This window comes from Homo sapiens, chromosome 2, assembly GCF_000001405.40.
Source record: "Homo sapiens chromosome 2, GRCh38.p14 Primary Assembly".
Lineage (NCBI taxonomy): Eukaryota > Metazoa > Chordata > Mammalia > Primates > Hominidae > Homo > Homo sapiens.
Genome location: NC_000002.12, coordinates 176,085,372 through 176,103,381, shown reverse-complemented (window position 1 = coordinate 176,103,381; position 18,010 = coordinate 176,085,372). Strand labels below are relative to the sequence as shown.

Sequence of the window (18,010 nt, the reverse complement as noted above, 5' to 3'; positions counted from 1 at the left end):
AGGAGGCAAACCTCTGAATGCAGACTCAGACTTGGAGATCCTGCTCTGGGTACCATCGCCTCTATGTGCCCAGCCAGGTGGAGAATCCTTTTGAGCCATAGGGCCTTGGCAGCTCTTGCTTCTTTCTCTCCTATTGAATATATATACATATAGGTATATATAGTTGTGTGTGTGTATACAATTAAAGAACAATTAAAAATTTCAATTATACACCAAATTTGCTTCTGGGAAAGGGAGTTGAAATGTTGAATATTCAGTGTTAGTGATTTAGTGGTTTTGCTAATTCTTCCTCTAGCTAAAAGCTAGTTTCCACCTCCACCAGCTAGGAGCTTGTTTTTGCAAGAAAATGAGTAGCAAGCAGGCCCTGAATTTCCTGGACTAAGCTAGAGGTTCAGATGGACTAGGGAGTTTTGAGGCCCCATTTCCCAAGGGAGTCTGCTGGGCGCCTGGTAAACCTGCTGGTATCAAGGATTTAGCAGGACATAGCCGGTTCCAGAGAAGTCAGACCAAAATTCGGTGGAGACAGACGTTTTGTTTTGACATCTGAAGAACCTCAAATCTTTACAGACCCCGAATACCAGCAAGCTTTAAAATTTGAGAATTTAGGCTAAGTGTGGAAGTCCCAGCTTGCAACAAGCTGAGAGTCCCCTTAATGTGTGAGACACACTCAGATCTGCCATGGTCCTTCCCTTTTGGATATTCCAAACATATTTGGTTTGTAGGCTTTTACACACCATTTCCTGACTGCCTCGGAAGCCATTTTCTCATTTAACGAACAGTCAACACTCGCGGTGAAACAATAACCAGAAAAGAAAAACGAATTTGGTGGCCTGAAAAACATTAAGGTGGAATCCAAAACATTTTGAAAAATTGACTTCAGCTCCTTGACAGCTTGGCTCAGACCTGGATATTTATTTTCACTCAAAACATTTGTATATATTGTGTCTGATATATACAAGCTACTGTTTTTGACAAAATCAAAACAAAACATGCATGATAACTATTAGATAGCCTAGAAAATGAAATTAGTTTAAATATCAACTGAAGTCAGTTGGGCTAAGGCTCAGGGCTCTCTGTGAGGGGCCCACTCCAGATTTAGGGCCAGGTCCTGCACTGAAAAGAAATCACTGGACTTTGGGAAGGAATCCTGAATCCTTGAGTTGTTGTGCATCATGCTAGGAATTGCGAAGGAGGAGTGCTACATGTCAGAAGGAGAGGGGAGAAGAGGCAGGGATAGTGGAATGAGCTCGCAGGGGGAGGCTTGGTTCACTGAGATTAAGGCGGGACACTCCAGTACACCCAGAACAACTCCACCTGGCATTTGGGAACCCCTGCCTCCATGAGGCAAGCCTGGCAGGGCCCAGGGCCTTAAAGTCTCCACTGGGACAGGCCAGACATGCCTCAGAAGGGGCACAGTAGCTGGGCCTCTGGTAGAGTTGGCAGATGGTAGAGACGGTGAGAGGAACTTCTGGTCCTCTTTGCTTTGTCAAGAGCAGCTAGCGGGGCAGAGAATCTAAGAGACTTCCTTCCCCTCCCCTTGACTCTTGAGAAGGATTTTTGCCTATCCTTATGGGGTTCCATTAAGGTAATTGAAGAAAGAAAGATGCACCAACACCTTTACTCACCTCAACTGGAAAGCCATATTTACAGTTGGAGTGCAGCACCCCTCCTCCTCTTATTCACTCCCTTCTCCTCCCCTGGATATTTTTCCCTCTCCCTGTGCAACAGAGCTTCAAAGCAGACCAACAGCTCCTTTCACCAGAGCTAGCCTCTGGGGATCCAGTTACAGGGTTCATAGGCCTGGCCTAGGCATGTTTGAGAAGGTGGGAGTAGGGCAATGTTTGCCAGTCTTGTCTGGAGATGGCACTTGTCTGGAGTCCCAGTCTCTCTCATCCCATCTCAGGAAATGAAGGTTCCACATATTCTACCCAGCTGGAAATAGGCCAGCCTATTTCGCATTTCTCATTTCGAGATATCTCCAAGTTTACCCCACTACCCAGCCCCTCCCCTTCCCTCCCTTTTCCTCCCAAAGTCTGAAGATCTAGTGTGGCTTTTGTTCTCTCAAATCAGCCAGGGCAGACAGGAGGGTGGAGGGTGGATGGTGCCCTTTCCTTTCTCCAGAGTGAAGATCCTGGCCTTGCCACAAAGGGCTTCTGCTGCAGAGACCTAATTGTACCCACAGTCCTTTCCATTCCCTCAGGAGGCCTTCCACTCTGAGCCCTAACTAGGCGACTGCTATACGCTGAAGGGGCTGGAGAGAGGGGGAAAGGGAGAACGAATTGGGTGGAAACAGAAAAATCCAGGTACCGGGGAGCAAGAATGAGCGGTGGGTGCAAATGCCCCAGCCAGGAGCAAGGAGAGTTGGCCTCAGTCCCCCAACGTGGAAGCCTTAAGGCCAGCCAGAGTTGCACTGGTACTTCCGCACGTTTCTCACGGGCTTCTCAGGGACTGAGGAAAGCAAGGAGGCCCAACTGGCCTGGTCTGTAAATCTCTTGGTGGCTTCTGGGGCCAGCAGAGAAGGAACCGAAGGAAAAGCCTTAGCCTTAGCCCCAGATCCCCCTCCCCAAACAAGGCCTCTGTCCAAAAGGGCAGATCCAACCCGGCCCTGGCCACGCGCGCGGCTAGTAGAGCGCCAGCGCCTGCTCCCGAAGCACCACGCGCTTCTTCTTCATACGCCTGTTCTGGAACCAGATTTTGACTTGCTGGTCGCTGAGGTTCAGCCTATTGGACAATTCCTTGCGTTTCTGCCTGTTGATGAATTCGTTGACGAGGAATTCGTTCTCCAACTCCGCAATCTGCTGCTTCGTGTAGGGTTTCCGCTTCTTGCGGGCCCTCCCCGGGGCCGCCCCCCACGGCAGGCCTGCAACACAGCCCCAACCCACGTCAACCCAGCCCGTACTCTGTCTATTGCCCGCCCCCAGGCGGTTCACCTCCCCTTACACTCTCCCTTGAACCCCACCTCCCATCCCGGCCCAAACCGGCCCGGGGAGCATGGGCACCGTTTACCGTCGGGCAGTGAAGGTCGCAGGCAAGAGGCAACGCCCGCCGCCTGCACTGTCATGTTCAAGTTGAGCGGGCCCTTGGTGTCGTCCTTGAAGCCAGGGGCGCAGGGAGCCCCCTGGAGCAGGGTCGTGGAGCCCGGCGTGGCACGACCCACACCAGCGTAGTCATACTTGGCCGCTTTGAGAGCAGCCACTGCAGGAGCCAGGCTAGACTCGGGGGCGAAGGACGGCCGGGTACGACCGCGCTCCTCTGGCCCAGCGGCCGCTTCGGGCGCATAGAACTTAGCCTGCTCTTCGGGTCCGTCTTTGGCTGTTGGGGGCTGCAGGCCGAGAGGCCCGGAGCCAGCCAGGTAGGGCTGCGAGAAGCCGCCGAAGGCAGTGGCGCCCGCAGGCTGCGCGGGGGCGCAGGAGGCGGGCGTGGCGGCCCAGGGCAGCGCGCCGCGCGGGTAGGAGATAGGGGGAAGCGCGGCCAACTGGCCGCCATTCGGCCTCAGGTTGGAGAAGTAGAAAGAGTCTGGCGACTGCAGATTCAGAAGCGAGCCCACATAGCCCGCTCTGTAGAGACTGCGCTCACACATCTCCAACAAAGGGCTTCGGCTGCGCTCGCAACAGTATTTAGTTACAACCGGGAATAAGAGGACAGGCTCAGACGATTGGACGAAACTTTGCCTGCAGGTTCTTCAAAGCCGGTCATTTCAGCACCGCCTACATCCCCCCGACCCGTTTTCCCCCCCTTCAGAGTATTATGATAACACCCGCAATGTTCGATGGCGAAGGACGAGGCTGCCAGCAGAGCCAAATCAGGTTGAGCGAAGACTAACTGTCTGCGGGTTTCCAGGCCCGGCTTCAGCAGCTGGGGACATCGGGCAAGAGGGTGACTCTGCCCAAGTGTCCCCTGGGACTCTTCTTGGTCGTGATTGGCTTTGCGATTCGTTTTCCGCAGGCTTTCTGGGCCCGGCTTGCTTCTACCGGCTTTAAGTTGCAGCGGAGGCATTTTCCATTAACCGGCGCCTCTCGACTTATCCGGAGAGGGCGCGGTCCGGCGGCACCAGGAGCTCTGTCCCTTGGCCTGAGCAATGTCACTTTTACCCCAATCACTCCCACAGAGAGGGTTTCTCCAGAGACCTCTGCCTGAGGATCTGGCAGCAAAGACCCATTCGCTACTTGAGCCCTCAGTCCCAGGCCGCAGACACAAAAAGGGCATCACAAACTACCCAATTTTGGGATCCAGGAAGGAGGCCACACTATTTCTGGTTTGTGTCCCCATGGCTAAGAACTCTGATCATAGGGAAATTGCCATACAGGTCCATGGAGAATGTCCGCCAGGGAACCCATCAGCTCGATCCACCAATCGTGGCCAAAGGCTACATTCCTTTTATCTTCAGGAGTCCTCTCCAGGACTACACACTGCAAACCAGAACTCCGAGGTGTCCCCATCCACCAAGTGGAGGGCAAAGCAGGACGAACTCCCCCGACTGGGTGTGGAAAGGCAGAAGAGCCAGAACCACCTGGCCGGGGAACAGCGGGCGTTCGGAGGCAGCTGGCTAGCAGAGTTCCTTGCCTCAGCGCCCCCAGGGGTGCCGGGGATAGGGAGTTCACGGGTCTGACAAACAGGGAAGTGGGAAAGGCAGCAGTTCTTAGCCGGGAGCGGTGTGCTCAGACCCCGTCGCTGGCCCTCTTGCCTAGTCCGGCCAGAGGACTAGGGGTCCTCCCCTCCTGCCTCTGATCCCAAGACCCTGGGAGACCCGGTGACCGGCGCCAGTCTCAGCCTGCAGCAGGACCCTCGGTCTCCGAGCCAAGCTGGAATTGGTTAGATCGCGGGCTCCTGCACTGAGACCACACAGGCGCCGCCGGAGGGCAAGACTGACCGCCGCGCTGCCACTTTATTGTGTGAGTTATGGCGACCAATTGGGTGGCTCTGGGGAACGCAATCGGCCTCTTCCTCCTGCTCTGGTGGGGGGGAGAGAGGGAGTGAGGACGGGGGGGTGGGGATGTCTGGGGCTCCTCTGGCTCTGCCAGAGAGTTTCCTTAGGAGCCCAGGCATAGAGACTCACTCGCTCTCGTCCTCTCTTGGGAGGTGGGGGCAAGCACAAACTGCAATCCCAGTTCCTAGATACTCAAGGGAATACAAGCCTCAGATCCCTAAGAGCTCTTATTTTGGGGAACCCATCCTATTTTCGAGGAGCTGCAGCTTCGTTACTCCCGAAAGCTCCAGCTCCAGGGGTCCCTGCAGTCTCTCCTCACGTTTCAGTGCACGACGATTCCTCGTTATTTCCAAGCCGAGGGGTGTCTCTTTCGGACCTTTAGGCAGCCCTACAACAGCTGTTTGCGCCTCAGGACTAAAGGCATAAAAGAACTCAGTGAAAAACAGGAAAAACAAGAACAACTAGGTTCCCTCCATTGCTCCTTGGACAGTCTTCCCACTTCATCCCCCGGGTTTATGACTTTCGAGGTCTGGCAGGCAAAGTCTTATGCGAGCTGGGGAACCTGATCGAGGGAGGATCGGGGTGGAAAGTAGTGGCGGGAGAGTGGCTTGGCTGGTGATTAAGAGAATGGAACAGGATTTGGCTGAGGAGCGAATAGAGAGCTCTGCCAATGCCGCCCAATGCCCAGGAGATGGCGAGCGCGCTCCATGCCTATCGGGGCGCAGCCGCACGGTCAAGATCAACAGTGAAGGGCGGTGCGGCCTCCCTGGGGTCGCCAGCCCGCTTTCAGACGCAGCCTAGCGCCTCCGAAAGCCGGAGATCTTGGCGGCAAGGCCGCCCCTGACAGCGGAGCCAGAGGGACCCAGGGGGCTGCCAGAGGCGGGGAAGCACTGCAGTCGCCCCTTTGTCTGACCGTGAGTCCCGGCTCCAATGCTTCCTTCGCCTCTTGAATCACGCGACACGGGGACCTCGTTCCCCCACCCGCGGCGCTAAAAACCTGCCGGGTTTCTGAGGAGCTCTCCTGCCGCCTGTCTCCAACCGAAGGAAAGGCCTCTCTCCAAGCCCCCTTAGCCTTCCGGGTTCCCCGAGGGCCTCCCTCCCAGTGCCTGGGCCACTTACCAGTTCCTCTCCTCCCTCTGCAATTTGGAATATAAAGGGAATGCATATGAATAACAAAGCCTTCTTCTGTTATTGATTTAGCCCTCAATCCAAATTCCTCCAGAGAGCGTTTGAGCACAGTTTTAATCTTCAGCAAACCTACCATTTCTCCAAGGCGGGGGGAGGGGGGGAAGTGACATGCAAACTAGAGATGAAAGGAAAGCCTCGAGGCAATCTCCCCTACCCACGATGGGAAACCCGAGAAATAGACAGGGGAAATGGAGTGAAGCTCCGGAGTGTGGGACTCACAAAAAATGGAGGGGAAGTTGGCGATTAGGAGAAAGGAAAAATGTGCCCGTTTCTGATGAAAACACATCTTTTGAGAAAAACCACAAAAACGGTAACGACCCTTCCCGAAGTGTAAGGTGGGGGATGGTGTGGCCCCTTGTGCACGGGTTATTTCTTCTGCAAAGATTGAATCGCGATCATATCTCTCTCTGTTTCTCTGTCTCTGTCCCTCCCCCTCAAAATCGAAGTTAGCTGTCCACGGTCGCCAGTAAGATATGAAAGAAATCAAGCTGGGACAGGGAAAACGAAAGTAGCTCCAAGTCTTAGGTCTCTGCGTTTTCTCTCTCAAAGTCATGAGGGAGCCCTCCCACCAGGAGAGTTTTCACACTAAGTGAGGTTTTAAATATCACTATGTAACTAACTTACACACTAAAACTTTAGCAACCACTGAGTTGATTGTGTGGGGAGCTAACCATGAGGAGTCATCCAGTTCCTCATCGGCCATTTCCCTGAGTGGCAAAAAGGCCTCAAACAGAAAATTCTAGTGCCTAAAAATTGCGTCTGAAAGTTTAGGTTTTATGTTTTCAGTTGTCAACTGCTCTGTGCAGACTGCCCGGAGAAGGCGATATGGGATAAGCTTGAAATGTTTCTTTTTCGATTGCCAAATATGGGTATGTCTTTCTAATTTCAAGACCTTCCTAGTCCAGATGTTTATAATGGTCTTTCCAGGTTGAAAATTTTCAAGTGAGTAAGTTTTTCTATGCACAGGCATACAAATACATATGGATTAAAAAATAAATAGAACTATATAAATAAATTGACAATAGTGAAAGAAAAGTAAAATTTTATTGTCTTTTGAGCTGGCCTGGTATAAAATATCATTTTAAACACTGTAAATGATATCCTCATTTTAAAACATCACTACTTATGTTAAAGTCATGGGCAAAAGGGAGGGAGGGGGGCAAAAGTGGAGAGCATGAAGGTTCCAGAAACCAGAATTAGTGTTGAGTTTCCTTCATCTATAGAGAACATAATTGTGTTCAAGATACCAAGATTTTGTAATAAATAAGAATCGTTTCAAGAAGAAACACAAACTTGAAAAAATAAAACAAATGTATAAGGACTCAGAAGAAACAAAAGAGTTCTGTTTATTGGCATCTCCCTAGGAGTAAAAAGTGATTTTTAAATGTCTGAAGCACTGCCCATGTATCCCAGCTCACAGACATTGCATTTACAAAAATAATCTCTCAATTGTATAAATATGCAGCACTTTAAAAGTAATTATTTATCATCACTTTCAGAAACATCATTATTTTTCTTCTTGGACCTTGGAACTTCACATTTTTCATATTTGTTAGATGCTTTACAGCTCCATGCGAGGCCCCCTTGTTTAGACAGTCAAGTTCTTCATTGGGTTCTGTATGTAAGTTCCCACCCACGGCCACATTGATTCAGCCTCTTTTTGAGGATTGAGGAGATGACCACAATCCCAGACCCATAGATCCAAGGCCAAGAAAAGGAGGTGCATTTATGCCATCCGCGGGTCACTCTACTGATTGCAGCCATTTAAATGTCTGCATTGAGAGCTCAAGAAATGAAGGCATCCACGATCCATGAGGACACATGAGTTTCAAATTAAAGATTATGAAAACACAAACCTACAAAGTGTTAAAAACAAACAATTAAAACAGCAAGTGAAACACCCAAAGTTGGAAAGATTGTCTTCATTTCAATATTGATACAATCCCTATTTAATAAGGTGGCCATTTTTAAAGCCATCACAGTACCTTCAGCCTCCTGTTTTTAGACTTTCTCGGTGACCCCAGAGCACTGCCTGCCTTTCCACTTGCCTCAGGGCAACTGCTGAGAGCTAATGATTCAATTACCTAATTACAGGATATGAACGACTGAAAACCATTCTGTCCTAATGGATTATGAAGATAATCAGTGCTGGGAATGAACAAATAAAGTAATTTTTTAAAAAAACCCTTAAATCAGAATGGCACTTCTGAAGTTCATTGGGGGGCGGATTATTAAAAAATACTTCAAGTCCCTTTATACTGGCCTGGAGGGAGAAACAAAACATTAAAAACAGATATTTTAAAAACCCTAGGCAAGAACAAAACCAATAATAAACAAGTAAAAATCAGAACTACAAAGTCAGGTTGGGCAGCAGAAGGTTTTAGAGCCAGATAAGGGGAAGAGAGAAAAACAATTCACAAAATTTGCCACCATTGGCAGGGGGTGGGGGGAATTAAATACATATTCAAGTCTTTCCAAAGGCCTTTTGGAGACAACCGAATGGCTTCTAAGCTGTCTGTGGCCAACCTGGACCACATCAGGAGACAGTATCTTTGAGCTTGGAGACAATTTTCTTGTCCTTCACTCTTCGGTTCTGAAACCAAATGGTCACTTGTCTCTCAGATAGGTTCGTAGCAGCCGAGATACGCCGCCGCTTGTCCTTGTTAATGAATTTGTTAATGGCATACTCGTTCTCCAGTTCTTTAAGCTGCAGTTTGGTGTAAGGCACTCTCTTCTTCCTCCCTCTTCGGTAGACGCACATGTCCGGCTGATTTAGAGCCACATCCCCTGATACAAACAAAAGCACAAGAAAAATTAGGCTGGGATATTCGGAGCACCTAGCTGAGGATTGTGTGTGTGTGTGTGTGTGTGTGTGTGTGTGCGTTTGCAGGGGTGCAGGAAATTTTTAAAAAATGCCATGCTGTTTGGTCTTTATTATGTACATAGACATAACACTTACCTGTTATTAAAGAAGGATTATTTGCACTTAACAACAATGGTTAATTTGATTGATTATCATAGTTTCTCAAACCGGCATCTTAACAAGCTTGCAATTTTATGGTGTGGTTATTGGGCACGTTCATGAGGACAGTTTCTGCAAATGTCGGTTGTATAAAAACAAACTTACATACATAGACACATACCAACTCAGGTCTTTTGCTCAAATTTTGATTTCCCGCGTTCCTATGTTAGGAGTTCGTGAGCTTGATCTAACAAGCTTTAGTAGTCATCTTGGGGCAGTGATGTCTTTGAAAATGGGGGGACCCAACTCTGTCAGGTTTCTTAGGAAAAAGTTCTCTTTAGGAGAAAAGGGAGAGGCCCAAGGAAAGGGCACGCAGAGACTCTCAACTTTAGGAGAAAAACGTGTCTGCGCTGCACACAGGAAAGAAAGGGCAGTGACGGAGGCAGTTGAAATCAGAGGAGGAATTTACAGATTTCACACGAACTGGACAAATTTCCACTGGGTTAACCCTGGTCACGTGTGGAGCACAGGCACAACTCCCACTCCCAAGTAGGGGCGCATACTCTTAGTCCTTTCTTTTCTCCTTCTCTCTCCCCCTCCCTCGTGTCGGTCCCTTTTCTCCATCGCCCCTACCTGGAAAGGAAGATTTCCAAAAGTGGGACCCCTGTGGCTGGTCCTTGGTGCAGTACACCTGGCTGTTCCACCCGTTAGCCAGCGTCCAGGACTGGTACCCCTCCATGGAGATGTAGGCCTCGTGCCGAGGCTCCCCGGAGCCGAAAGTGGACACCATGTCGATATAGCCGGGCACGTGCTGGTAAGGGCTCGTATAGCCCTGGTAGAAGGATACCTCCTTGGCTCGCGCTGGCACCTCGTTGGCCGGTACGCTGCTGCTCGCCAGGCCTGACACGTCCATGTACTTCTCCACGGGAAAGCCTCCCAGCGAGGCGTGCGGCGATGACTTGAGCGCATTCTGCTGTAAGCCCACGCCGTGCGACATACGGCAGCTGTAGTAGCCGTTGCCGAAGTGGTAGCCGTAGCCCAGCGCTGGAGCGCTCGGGGGCGCTGCAGCGGCCGCTGCAGGCGTGGGTGCTGGGCACTCTTTGGCTGGGGGAGCCTCCGGGCGCGCCGCTACAACGGCAGAAGAGGACGACGACGAGGAAGAGCCCGTGCGCTCAGAGGTCCCGGGGTACGCAAAGCCGGAGGCTGCCGCCGCCGCCGCCGCAGCCGCCGCTGCCGCCGCCGCCGCCCGCCCCGAATGCGTCCCGGCGAACACAGGCGCGGAGAGAAAGCCGCGGCACTGGCCTGACGCCGCCGCCGCCGCCACCGATGAGGAGGAGGAAGAGGCCGGGGCGCCACCGGCGCCCCCGCCGTCTGCCCGCAGCCCGTCCATGTCCCAGCTCCCGGCGCGGCTCATGGCCCGGCCTGGCCCGGCCCCGGCCCTGGCCCTGGCCCCGCGCAGGACACCATGGCGCGGCGCGCCTCCTCCCTCCTCTCCTTTCTCTCTGGTTCGCTCGCTCCCGCCCTCTTCCTCTAGCCCTCTCTCCCTCTGTGAGCCTCCCGCCTCCGGCCCGCCTGCCCTCCAACAGGTTAGCTCATCGCGGGACGTTTATAAAAACGAAGTTCAGGTTGGGAGGGGGCCTGGGCCGGTCGGGGGGCCGCCTCCCGCCCCGAGGGCCCCCGCCGGGGGCGTGCCATTGGCTGCGCGCGGCCACGTGGGGGTAGGAACGCGGGGGAGCCTGGCTCCCGGCCCAGGCCTGGCTGGACCCACCCACTCCGGCCCCCACCCCTCTCCTGCCCCTTGCAGGGTCCACCTCCCATTCCCGCCCTCCCCCCCGACCCAGGCGTACGCGCTGCAGCCACCCCCACGAGTTGATTGCGCGACGGCCCATCCCAGGCCCTGTCTGCGACTGAGGCGGGCGCCAAGGCCTGCGCCTTGTCTCGGCAACCGCTGTTTTTGCCACCTCTCCTCGGCTCCCCGAGTTGCACAGCAAAATGAAGACGAAGGACAGAGATGATCAGAATGATGTGAAAACAGGCCCATTTTTTTATCCTGTTGCTGAATCCCTCAGTTAGTCGACTTCTAGACCCCAAATCCGAGTGAGCTAATTTGCCCTACCTTGTGCACTGGTACCCGGCAAAGGCATTTCACACAGGTAAGAGGCATTGGAGCAGACCCTTCCTATACACACACGCTGTCCGTTCGGAAAATGCCCATGAAGCGCCCTTGGGGCTGGCGGCAGAGACTTAAACAGATGAAAGACAGGCATCGGCGCAGTGAGCCTGACAATCTGTCCCAGAAAGAAAAGTCCATGGATGCCTACTCAACGCTCTTCGCCTCTACTCTTGGGCCAGCCGGGAGTGCTTCCGACCTGGGCCTCTCAGCTCCCGCGGGTCCTTCTTCGACCCGCAGAAAGACCCTGAGAACGGCGCCGGGGGAGAAAGCCACTCAGCCTCCCACCGTGAAACTTCTGTGTCTCTCCAGCAGCCGACCGGCCTCGCATTTTGCAGTCACCACCCACTCCCGCCCGTTTCTCACACCAAATTAATTGAAAACTTCACTTTCCCAGGGACCTTTGTTTCGCTTCCTTTTCCAAGCTGTCAACTGCAGAGAACTGAGAGGGGCAAATTAAGAGGGCGCTTGTTCCAAGCAAATTCGGATTTTGTGATAGGAGCAGCCCAGAGAAACGGTCTGACTTCAAGGGGTTAGGTGGGCTCAGGGCAGTGCTGGTGGGGCTAGGTCCAGCTCTGGAACCAAGCTGCCAGGGTGTTAGGGATTACAGCCCTGTCCCTCATCATCCCTTTCTGTTGCTCCTCAGCCTCAGAGCTCCAGCCCACCATCCCTCAATCTCAGCAACTAATGGGGCACCAATGAGAGTCCTGCTGTGACTTTGGGGCTCTGCCTTAGGAACAATATTAGATCCAATGAGCCCAGGGTTCTGGGGGTGGATATGGGATCCTTCAGAGCCCATTTGGTTCTGTGGCATGCACTCCCCAAGCCAGCCCATCTCCAAGAAAATCACTCCCCTAAGCCTGTGATTGGTGAAAGCTTGTCACCCAGCACCACTGTTCCCCGACCAAAGATGCCCTGAGTAAGATGAGGAAGAGAGCCAGGAAGGCCCTCCTTGGCCTGGCCTGGCATTTCAGGGTAGGCTGCTGGTGTTAGGAGTGTTGACATGCAAAACGCAGTAACCATAAAAGGCTCAAATAAAGGGGAAAGTTATGAGAGGGGTGTTGGAAAGGAAAAGCAAGAGAATTCGTTTCATCGTTTTGAAGTTCTAGACATGTTCATGATCAAATTTGAGATGGGAGGGGCCTGAATTTACAGGAAATCATAGGGAATAGAAGTTTGCTGATGAGAAAATTTTTTTCACTATTTGGGAAAAGAAGGCAAAAGTCAGCAATGAAAGTTCAACCAGCATTTTAAAAAGGCCAACTGTGGCGAGGCGACAGGATTGCTAACTTTTAAAGAGGGTTTGGCTGGGTCTTTATGAAACAATTTTGGTACCAAACCACCAACCATGGGCCACCATGAAATGCTTTTATTTTCCCTTTGTCTCATTTTTTCTTCCTCAGACAGAGAAAACATGAAGATAGTTTTAACTTTTTATGACTCCAAAAAACAAATTCGTTGAAATATTTCTAAGATATAAGTAGAACCAACAAACTTTCAGTCTCTTAAAATTAAATATCCCTGTGGTTTTGTGCCTTGGGCTTCTGCTTCATTTTCTCACTGATAAGTACATTTTAATGATCAATTATGTGTTTAACAATAAAGTAAAATGAAAATGGGAAGAATGTGTCAAGTTTTGTTGATTTCAAGCAGCCCATCACTTCTGGCTGAATTTTCCATTCAGCAAATTAAGTTGTGCAGGAGTGGGAGAAAAATCTGAATTACTACTCAGGTTGAAAGGGATTTCTCAATGGTGGCTCTGCTTCCAAAAGCCCTGTGGGACCCTCTCAGAGCAGGGCAAAAGTTTTCTCTGTCCATCCTAATGGTTGTTCAGAAGCCAGGAAGATTTTGAATTAGGAGCTTTGCCCCTTGATATCCTGCTGCTGAACCTGCTTCCAGCATAGCCTTTGGGGTCCCAGCCCTGTGGGAGGGCTTTGCCCTGAGGAAAGGGGGTCTGACTTTGTCCACTTGGGCTCCAAAGCCCAGCACCTCTGGACAAATTCTACTGGCTCCTAGGGCTGTGGTTGAGTACAAGGCAAAGTCAGGGCTGCTTTGTTTATGAACTAATGAGACACATAGTTTACAAGCCAGGGATGCCAGGTAGAGGAGGAATTTTGAGGCTGAATTTGCAGAAACATTTCATTCAGGTTTAAACTTACTGGGAATCAGTTTCTTTAGGTGGCCAGGAACACAGACCAAGCCTTGTGTTTGTGTGTGGGTGCATTATGCAGGGGTTTTTAACAACAGAAATAGGCTTTGTTAAGTGAGAATCCTTGGAGACTACACATGTCTCCAAACGTGTGTCTTCTTCAGTGAAACCAGTTTTGCCGCTGTTCCTGATTTTGGTGAAAAACTCAGGATGACCCTATGGTGCCCAAAGTCCCACTGTATTCTCCCATCACTTGCTCCTCTTCCTCCTTTTCTTCCAGAGGCATCCTTTTTAAGCATCAGTGCTGTTCTGGAAGTCATATTCTCTCCTTTCAACCTAGTAGATGATCTTTCAAATTTTGCTCTTGTCCTGGTTTGGGGGAATGGGCAGATACAGGCTGTGATTTAGATTTATTGAAGTTGCTCTGCTTGCCAAGACAGCAATGAGCTCAATTAACCACATAATCAGTGGCCATTAAGGCCAGGATCACAGGATTCTATCAGAGTGGGGTCCTGGGGACTCCTTTGAAAGCACTTGTCTTGATGGCCAAGATCAGGAAGTGCAGGACACCCTCCTAATTAACTTGTAAGAAGCCAAATATTTGGTGTAGAAATAGAGTCTTAATTCCAAAGTAAAATCTTAAGTCTAGCAGAAGTGGCTGGACAGTGTTCTTAACCAAATCTGTGTTCTGCCAACTTTGGAGCTAATTTTCCCTCTCCAGGCAACACCCAGTTTTACTCAGCCTGGAGATATCAAAAGAAACAACAACAACAACAACAACAACAAACCAAACCTATTGTGAAAAAAGGGGACCCTAGCAACAGCTAGACAGTGGAAGCCACATTTGAGTACTTTCTACCTTTGAGACATATTCCGTTTGGGTTTCACAACACGATTAGGCTTTATCAAATGAAAATCGTTTGCAGCAACAACAGTTCCAAACCCCCTCCAAATCAGAAACATTATTTGGTGGAACCAGGTTTGCCTCATGCAGGACAGCGGGCCCTTCTTTGGGATGGAGAGAACTTCTCCAGCCTTGGAAAAAATTAAACACAGTGAGGATTCTTTCCTTTGAAGAGAAGCACTAATCTCACTGTGAAAGGGACGCAGGAGGGTGGGGCAGGAGCCAGAGGCCCAGAGTAACTTGTTGCCTTTTTTTGGAAAATAAAAGCTGGGACCCTAATTTGCTGAAGTTTTATCCGACATTTCAAGGTGAGGGGTTGTCCTTGGAATACACTTCCCTAGCAAAACTACTGGGAAGTCCAGTAAATTCTCACTCTGTCGGTAGCTTGAGATAAAAGAAAATGTCTGTCTACCTACCTATCTCCATTCCGCAGAGTCCATTGTCTCTATGGGGAATCCACATTGTCCTTACCGGCAGGGCAAAGGGATGAAGGTGAGGAAAGTGCCCAAGCACGAAGGGGGGAGCCGAAAGGGAGGCGGAGGGGCAGTGTTCGGCTCCACTTCCCGGCCCGGCGGCGCGCAGTTCCCCACGCCTGGCGCTAGATGTCCCTGCAAGTTTTCCCGTGGCGTCTGAGGGCACAGGAACTCGAGGCAGGCGATGGGTCTGCGTAGACCGAGCCCAGGAAGAAAGTATCCCCCAACTCCCGCACCACGACCTTCCTCCGTGGGGCGCGGGATTGCGACGGGAGTGGGAGGAGGAAAGACAGAAGCAACCGGAGAGACCCGGAAGGGACAGAGAGCTAGAAGCTGGCCTGCCGAGGGCTCGAAATCTGAGTCTTCCCTTATGCAGCGAAACCTGCACCCGTGGAAACCGCACTTCGCCTGAAGACAGGGAGCCCGAGGCTCGAAGCCCAGGCTTTCGCGGTCCTACTGTCCCACTGCACCCTGCAGCCCCAGCTCTCGAGCAAGCATGCGTCCCAAGGCGGGACCGCAAGTTGTCGGCCCCAATTGCCCGCAGCCCCCCGCGTAAGAGGAGAGCCAGGCTCCGGCAGCGGCAGACGCGGGGCTTCGCTGCAGCTACGGCTTTACCGGCGCCCCTCCCCTCGGGCAGCCCGGACAGATTTTTATTACCTGCAGTCATAGGCCAAAAGTGTTTACCACTTCACCTCAGAGGACCCGCTGCTGCTCAAGAAACAAATATTTAGTCTGGAAACCTAACCAAAAAATTAGGCCTCTTCAAAGTCATTACTCCTTTAGAACAAAAAGGGCTTTTCAGTCCATGCGAAGGAAGTCCTTCCTGTACTCCCCACCCCATCTTAAAAATTTCTGCCAAAGCATGCGGGCTTGGGTTGGATTCTTGACTTGTTTTATCTAGTGGGTTCTGTACCTTGGTAGTGGGTAAGAGGCCTTGACGGTCACAGAGGCTGCATCAAACCACCCGGAACATTTGACAGGCCTGTTCCCAGCCTTGGCCTTCACATTCTGGGAGACGTGCAAGTTTGGGTATTTCATCAAAAAGCATCAACAGGGAGGGGCGCAGTGGCTCACGCCTATAATCCCAGCACTTTGGAAGGTCGAGACAGGCGGATCACCTGAGGTAGGAGTTCGAGACCAGCCCGGCCAACTTGGTGAAATCCTGTCTCTACTAAAACTACAAAAATTAGCCGGGCGTGGTGGCGTATGCCTGTAATCCCAGCTGCTCAGGAGGCTGAGGCAGGAAAATCGCTTGAACCCGGGAGGCGGAGGTTGCGGTGAGCTGAGATCTTGCCATTGCACTCCAGCCTGGGCAACGGTGTGAGACTCTGTCTCAAAAACAAACAGACAAACAAACAAACAAAACAAACAAAAACCACCACCAACAACAACTACAACAAAATACACACACAAATCAACAGAACTGCACTCTTCTTACTACCCTCTATATAGGTTCAATGTTTTTGAGGTAGGCCTGTATTTACATAAGGCATATGCAAAATGAGAGAATTAACCTAAAAAATGCTGCCCAAGGCTTTAAACAACACTTTTGACTTTATCATCGGAGATAAGTTTAAATCACAAGTCCCTGAACCCCTCTGGCTCATAATCTCTGGAAAAGGGATAATAGTTTAAATCTCACAGAGTTACTGTGAACCTTAGCTGAGATAACATGTAAAAAGCACTTGGAATTGCAAAGTAAGAGTTTTGTATAAGTTAGCCAATATTACTACTAGTGGGCGTGGAATCTCTAAATAAATTAAGGGACATTAAATATTGGAATGGAATGGTCACTGTACCTCATGAAACATTATTGCCTGCTACACCCAGTTTAGTGGAAACATTATAGGTGTCTTTTACTGTGAGTAGTTTCGCTGACATGTCTCTGACATGTTTTTTGTAATAAACGTGCTAGAAATGCACTATCAGTGTCATTTAAAAGGTGCAAAAATAGTTTTCAAAGCCACTAATGAATGAAGGTGCTGCTGAGAAATAGTGTTTTCCCTTTCGACAGACTGAGGTCCGGTTTGGCGCAGCCTTTGGGACCAGAGGCGTCGGGTCCCAGAGGAAGGGAAGATGTGGGAGAGCCTCGGGCTGAGTGATAGAGGAAGGGGTCGTCAGTCCTCACCTTAGTCCCCAGTGACTGCGTCTCCGACTTGAAAACCAACTCACAGCAGCCGAAACCGCGAGGAAAACAGATGGGGGCGCCAAACGACAGCAATAAAGGCATCCACGGATTTCCACCCAAGCAGTGCCTCGGTTCACCCACACTCCCGCCAGGGTCTCGCACCACTTCCCACCCCCACCACCCCAGCACGACCCGAGCCTGAACCAAGGTGTCCCATTCAGTCCCTGGAGCAAGCGAGGACTGGGTAGGGGGACCCTTCCTGGGTCACAGGAGCAGCGACTGCCAGGCATGGCAGAATTGGGCATCCGGGCTGCGGAGCAGGGAGGGAGCAGGTGGGGGCGTTGGCAGGGCTGGACTCCCACCGCGCTGATGGCCCCAAAGCCGGCGCAATGAGAACTCAGGGAGCTCGGAGCTGGGTGGCCAATGGGGCAGGGGCAGAGGTGGACGCTGGGTCAAGTCCCAGTCCCGGTGCGCTGGATGCCCACTCTGCGTTCCCCGCCGGTTCCCCGTTCCCCCAGGCACCGCCTGCCTATCGAGCTTTCCGTTTATTACCTTAAAGATGTGGAATTGATTTTCTAAGCAAAGCTCGCGTTGTTGAAATAAGTTGGCGCCGAGGGGAACAGAAGATAAACTTTTGGCATTGACTATATGTGTGTATATATGTATATAAATATACTTCACACCTCGCTTCCCCTTACATTCCTGATGCGCCCCCAACGGGTCTAAGGTTAAAAGGAAAGCGCCAAGAGCTATAGGCGAATAGATCTCGAGCTTGCCCCCTAACACACCCCAATGTTCTGGGTGTGTCGGCAGAAAGAAGAGGGGGCCCTGGTTGGGGTTCGGATTGAGGCTAAATGTGGGGATGCAGGACCCGCGCCCAGCGCCCAGATTGTCAGGGTCTCTCAGCCGCTTCAGAAGCTCACGGGCGGACCTCCGCGTCCCATCCCCGTCCTCCCTCGCCTCCGCCTGTGTCCGCGAATCTCTCTCCGGCTGGGCCGTTGGCGGGTGGGCACAGTGCTTGGAGGGTCAGGGAAGGGTGGGCGCAACCGCGGGAGATGAGGAGCGGCCTGGAGTGAAGATTGATCTTCGTTAAAATGGTTGCCACCGGC

The 18,010-nt window shown here is 51.4% G+C and overlaps 2 protein-coding genes across 4 annotated transcripts, besides 4 other annotated features; both read right to left on the bottom strand.

The window, feature by feature from the left end:
• Positions 1 to 892: 892 nt before the first annotated feature.
• On the bottom strand, positions 893 to 3,587 carry HOXD12 (homeobox D12). The gene is made up of 2 exons (NM_021193.4): positions 3,007 to 3,587; positions 893 to 2,860 (listed from the first exon to the last, which is right to left on the bottom strand). Exons 1-2 carry the CDS (start codon positions 3,578 to 3,580, stop codon positions 2,622 to 2,624), a joined length of 813 nt encoding a protein of 270 aa, NP_067016.3. The 5' UTR covers positions 3,581 to 3,587; the 3' UTR covers positions 893 to 2,621.
• Positions 3,000 to 3,732: an enhancer, noted in NCBI's record as "H3K27ac-H3K4me1 hESC enhancer chr2:176964378-176965110 (GRCh37/hg19 assembly coordinates)". NCBI's record gives its function as "activates a minimal SCP1, AML or CMV promoter by ChIP-STARR-seq in primed H9 embryonic stem cells {active_cell/tissue: H9 hESC(primed)}" and the evidence as "EXISTENCE:reporter gene assay evidence [ECO:0000049][PMID:30033119]".
• Positions 5,274 to 5,856: an enhancer, noted in NCBI's record as "OCT4-H3K27ac-H3K4me1 hESC enhancer chr2:176962254-176962836 (GRCh37/hg19 assembly coordinates)". NCBI's record gives its function as "activates a minimal SCP1, AML or CMV promoter by ChIP-STARR-seq in primed H9 embryonic stem cells {active_cell/tissue: H9 hESC(primed)}" and the evidence as "EXISTENCE:reporter gene assay evidence [ECO:0000049][PMID:30033119]".
• Positions 5,857 to 6,440: an enhancer, noted in NCBI's record as "OCT4-NANOG-H3K27ac-H3K4me1 hESC enhancer chr2:176961670-176962253 (GRCh37/hg19 assembly coordinates)". NCBI's record gives its function as "activates a minimal SCP1, AML or CMV promoter by ChIP-STARR-seq in naive and primed H9 embryonic stem cells {active_cell/tissue: H9 hESC(naive and primed)}" and the evidence as "EXISTENCE:reporter gene assay evidence [ECO:0000049][PMID:30033119]".
• On the bottom strand, positions 7,438 to 15,895 carry HOXD13 (homeobox D13). Of its 3 annotated transcripts, none has more exons than XM_011511068.3 (2): positions 14,717 to 15,895; positions 7,438 to 8,902 (listed from the first exon to the last, which is right to left on the bottom strand). In XM_011511068.3, the coding sequence occupies exons 1-2, from the start codon at positions 15,438 to 15,440 to the stop codon at positions 8,652 to 8,654; spliced, it is 975 nt and encodes a 324-aa protein (XP_011509370.1). In that variant the 5' UTR covers positions 15,441 to 15,895; the 3' UTR covers positions 7,438 to 8,651. The 3 variants fall into 3 exon arrangements, with proteins under 3 accessions (XP_011509370.1, NP_000514.2, XP_011509371.1); NM_000523.4 differs by lacking the exon at positions 14,717 to 15,895 and adding an exon at positions 9,711 to 10,661; XM_011511069.3 differs by lacking the exon at positions 7,438 to 8,902 and adding an exon at positions 12,772 to 13,765.
• Positions 16,771 to 17,595: an enhancer, noted in NCBI's record as "H3K4me1 hESC enhancer chr2:176950515-176951339 (GRCh37/hg19 assembly coordinates)". NCBI's record gives its function as "activates a minimal SCP1, AML or CMV promoter by ChIP-STARR-seq in naive H9 embryonic stem cells {active_cell/tissue: H9 hESC(naive)}" and the evidence as "EXISTENCE:reporter gene assay evidence [ECO:0000049][PMID:30033119]".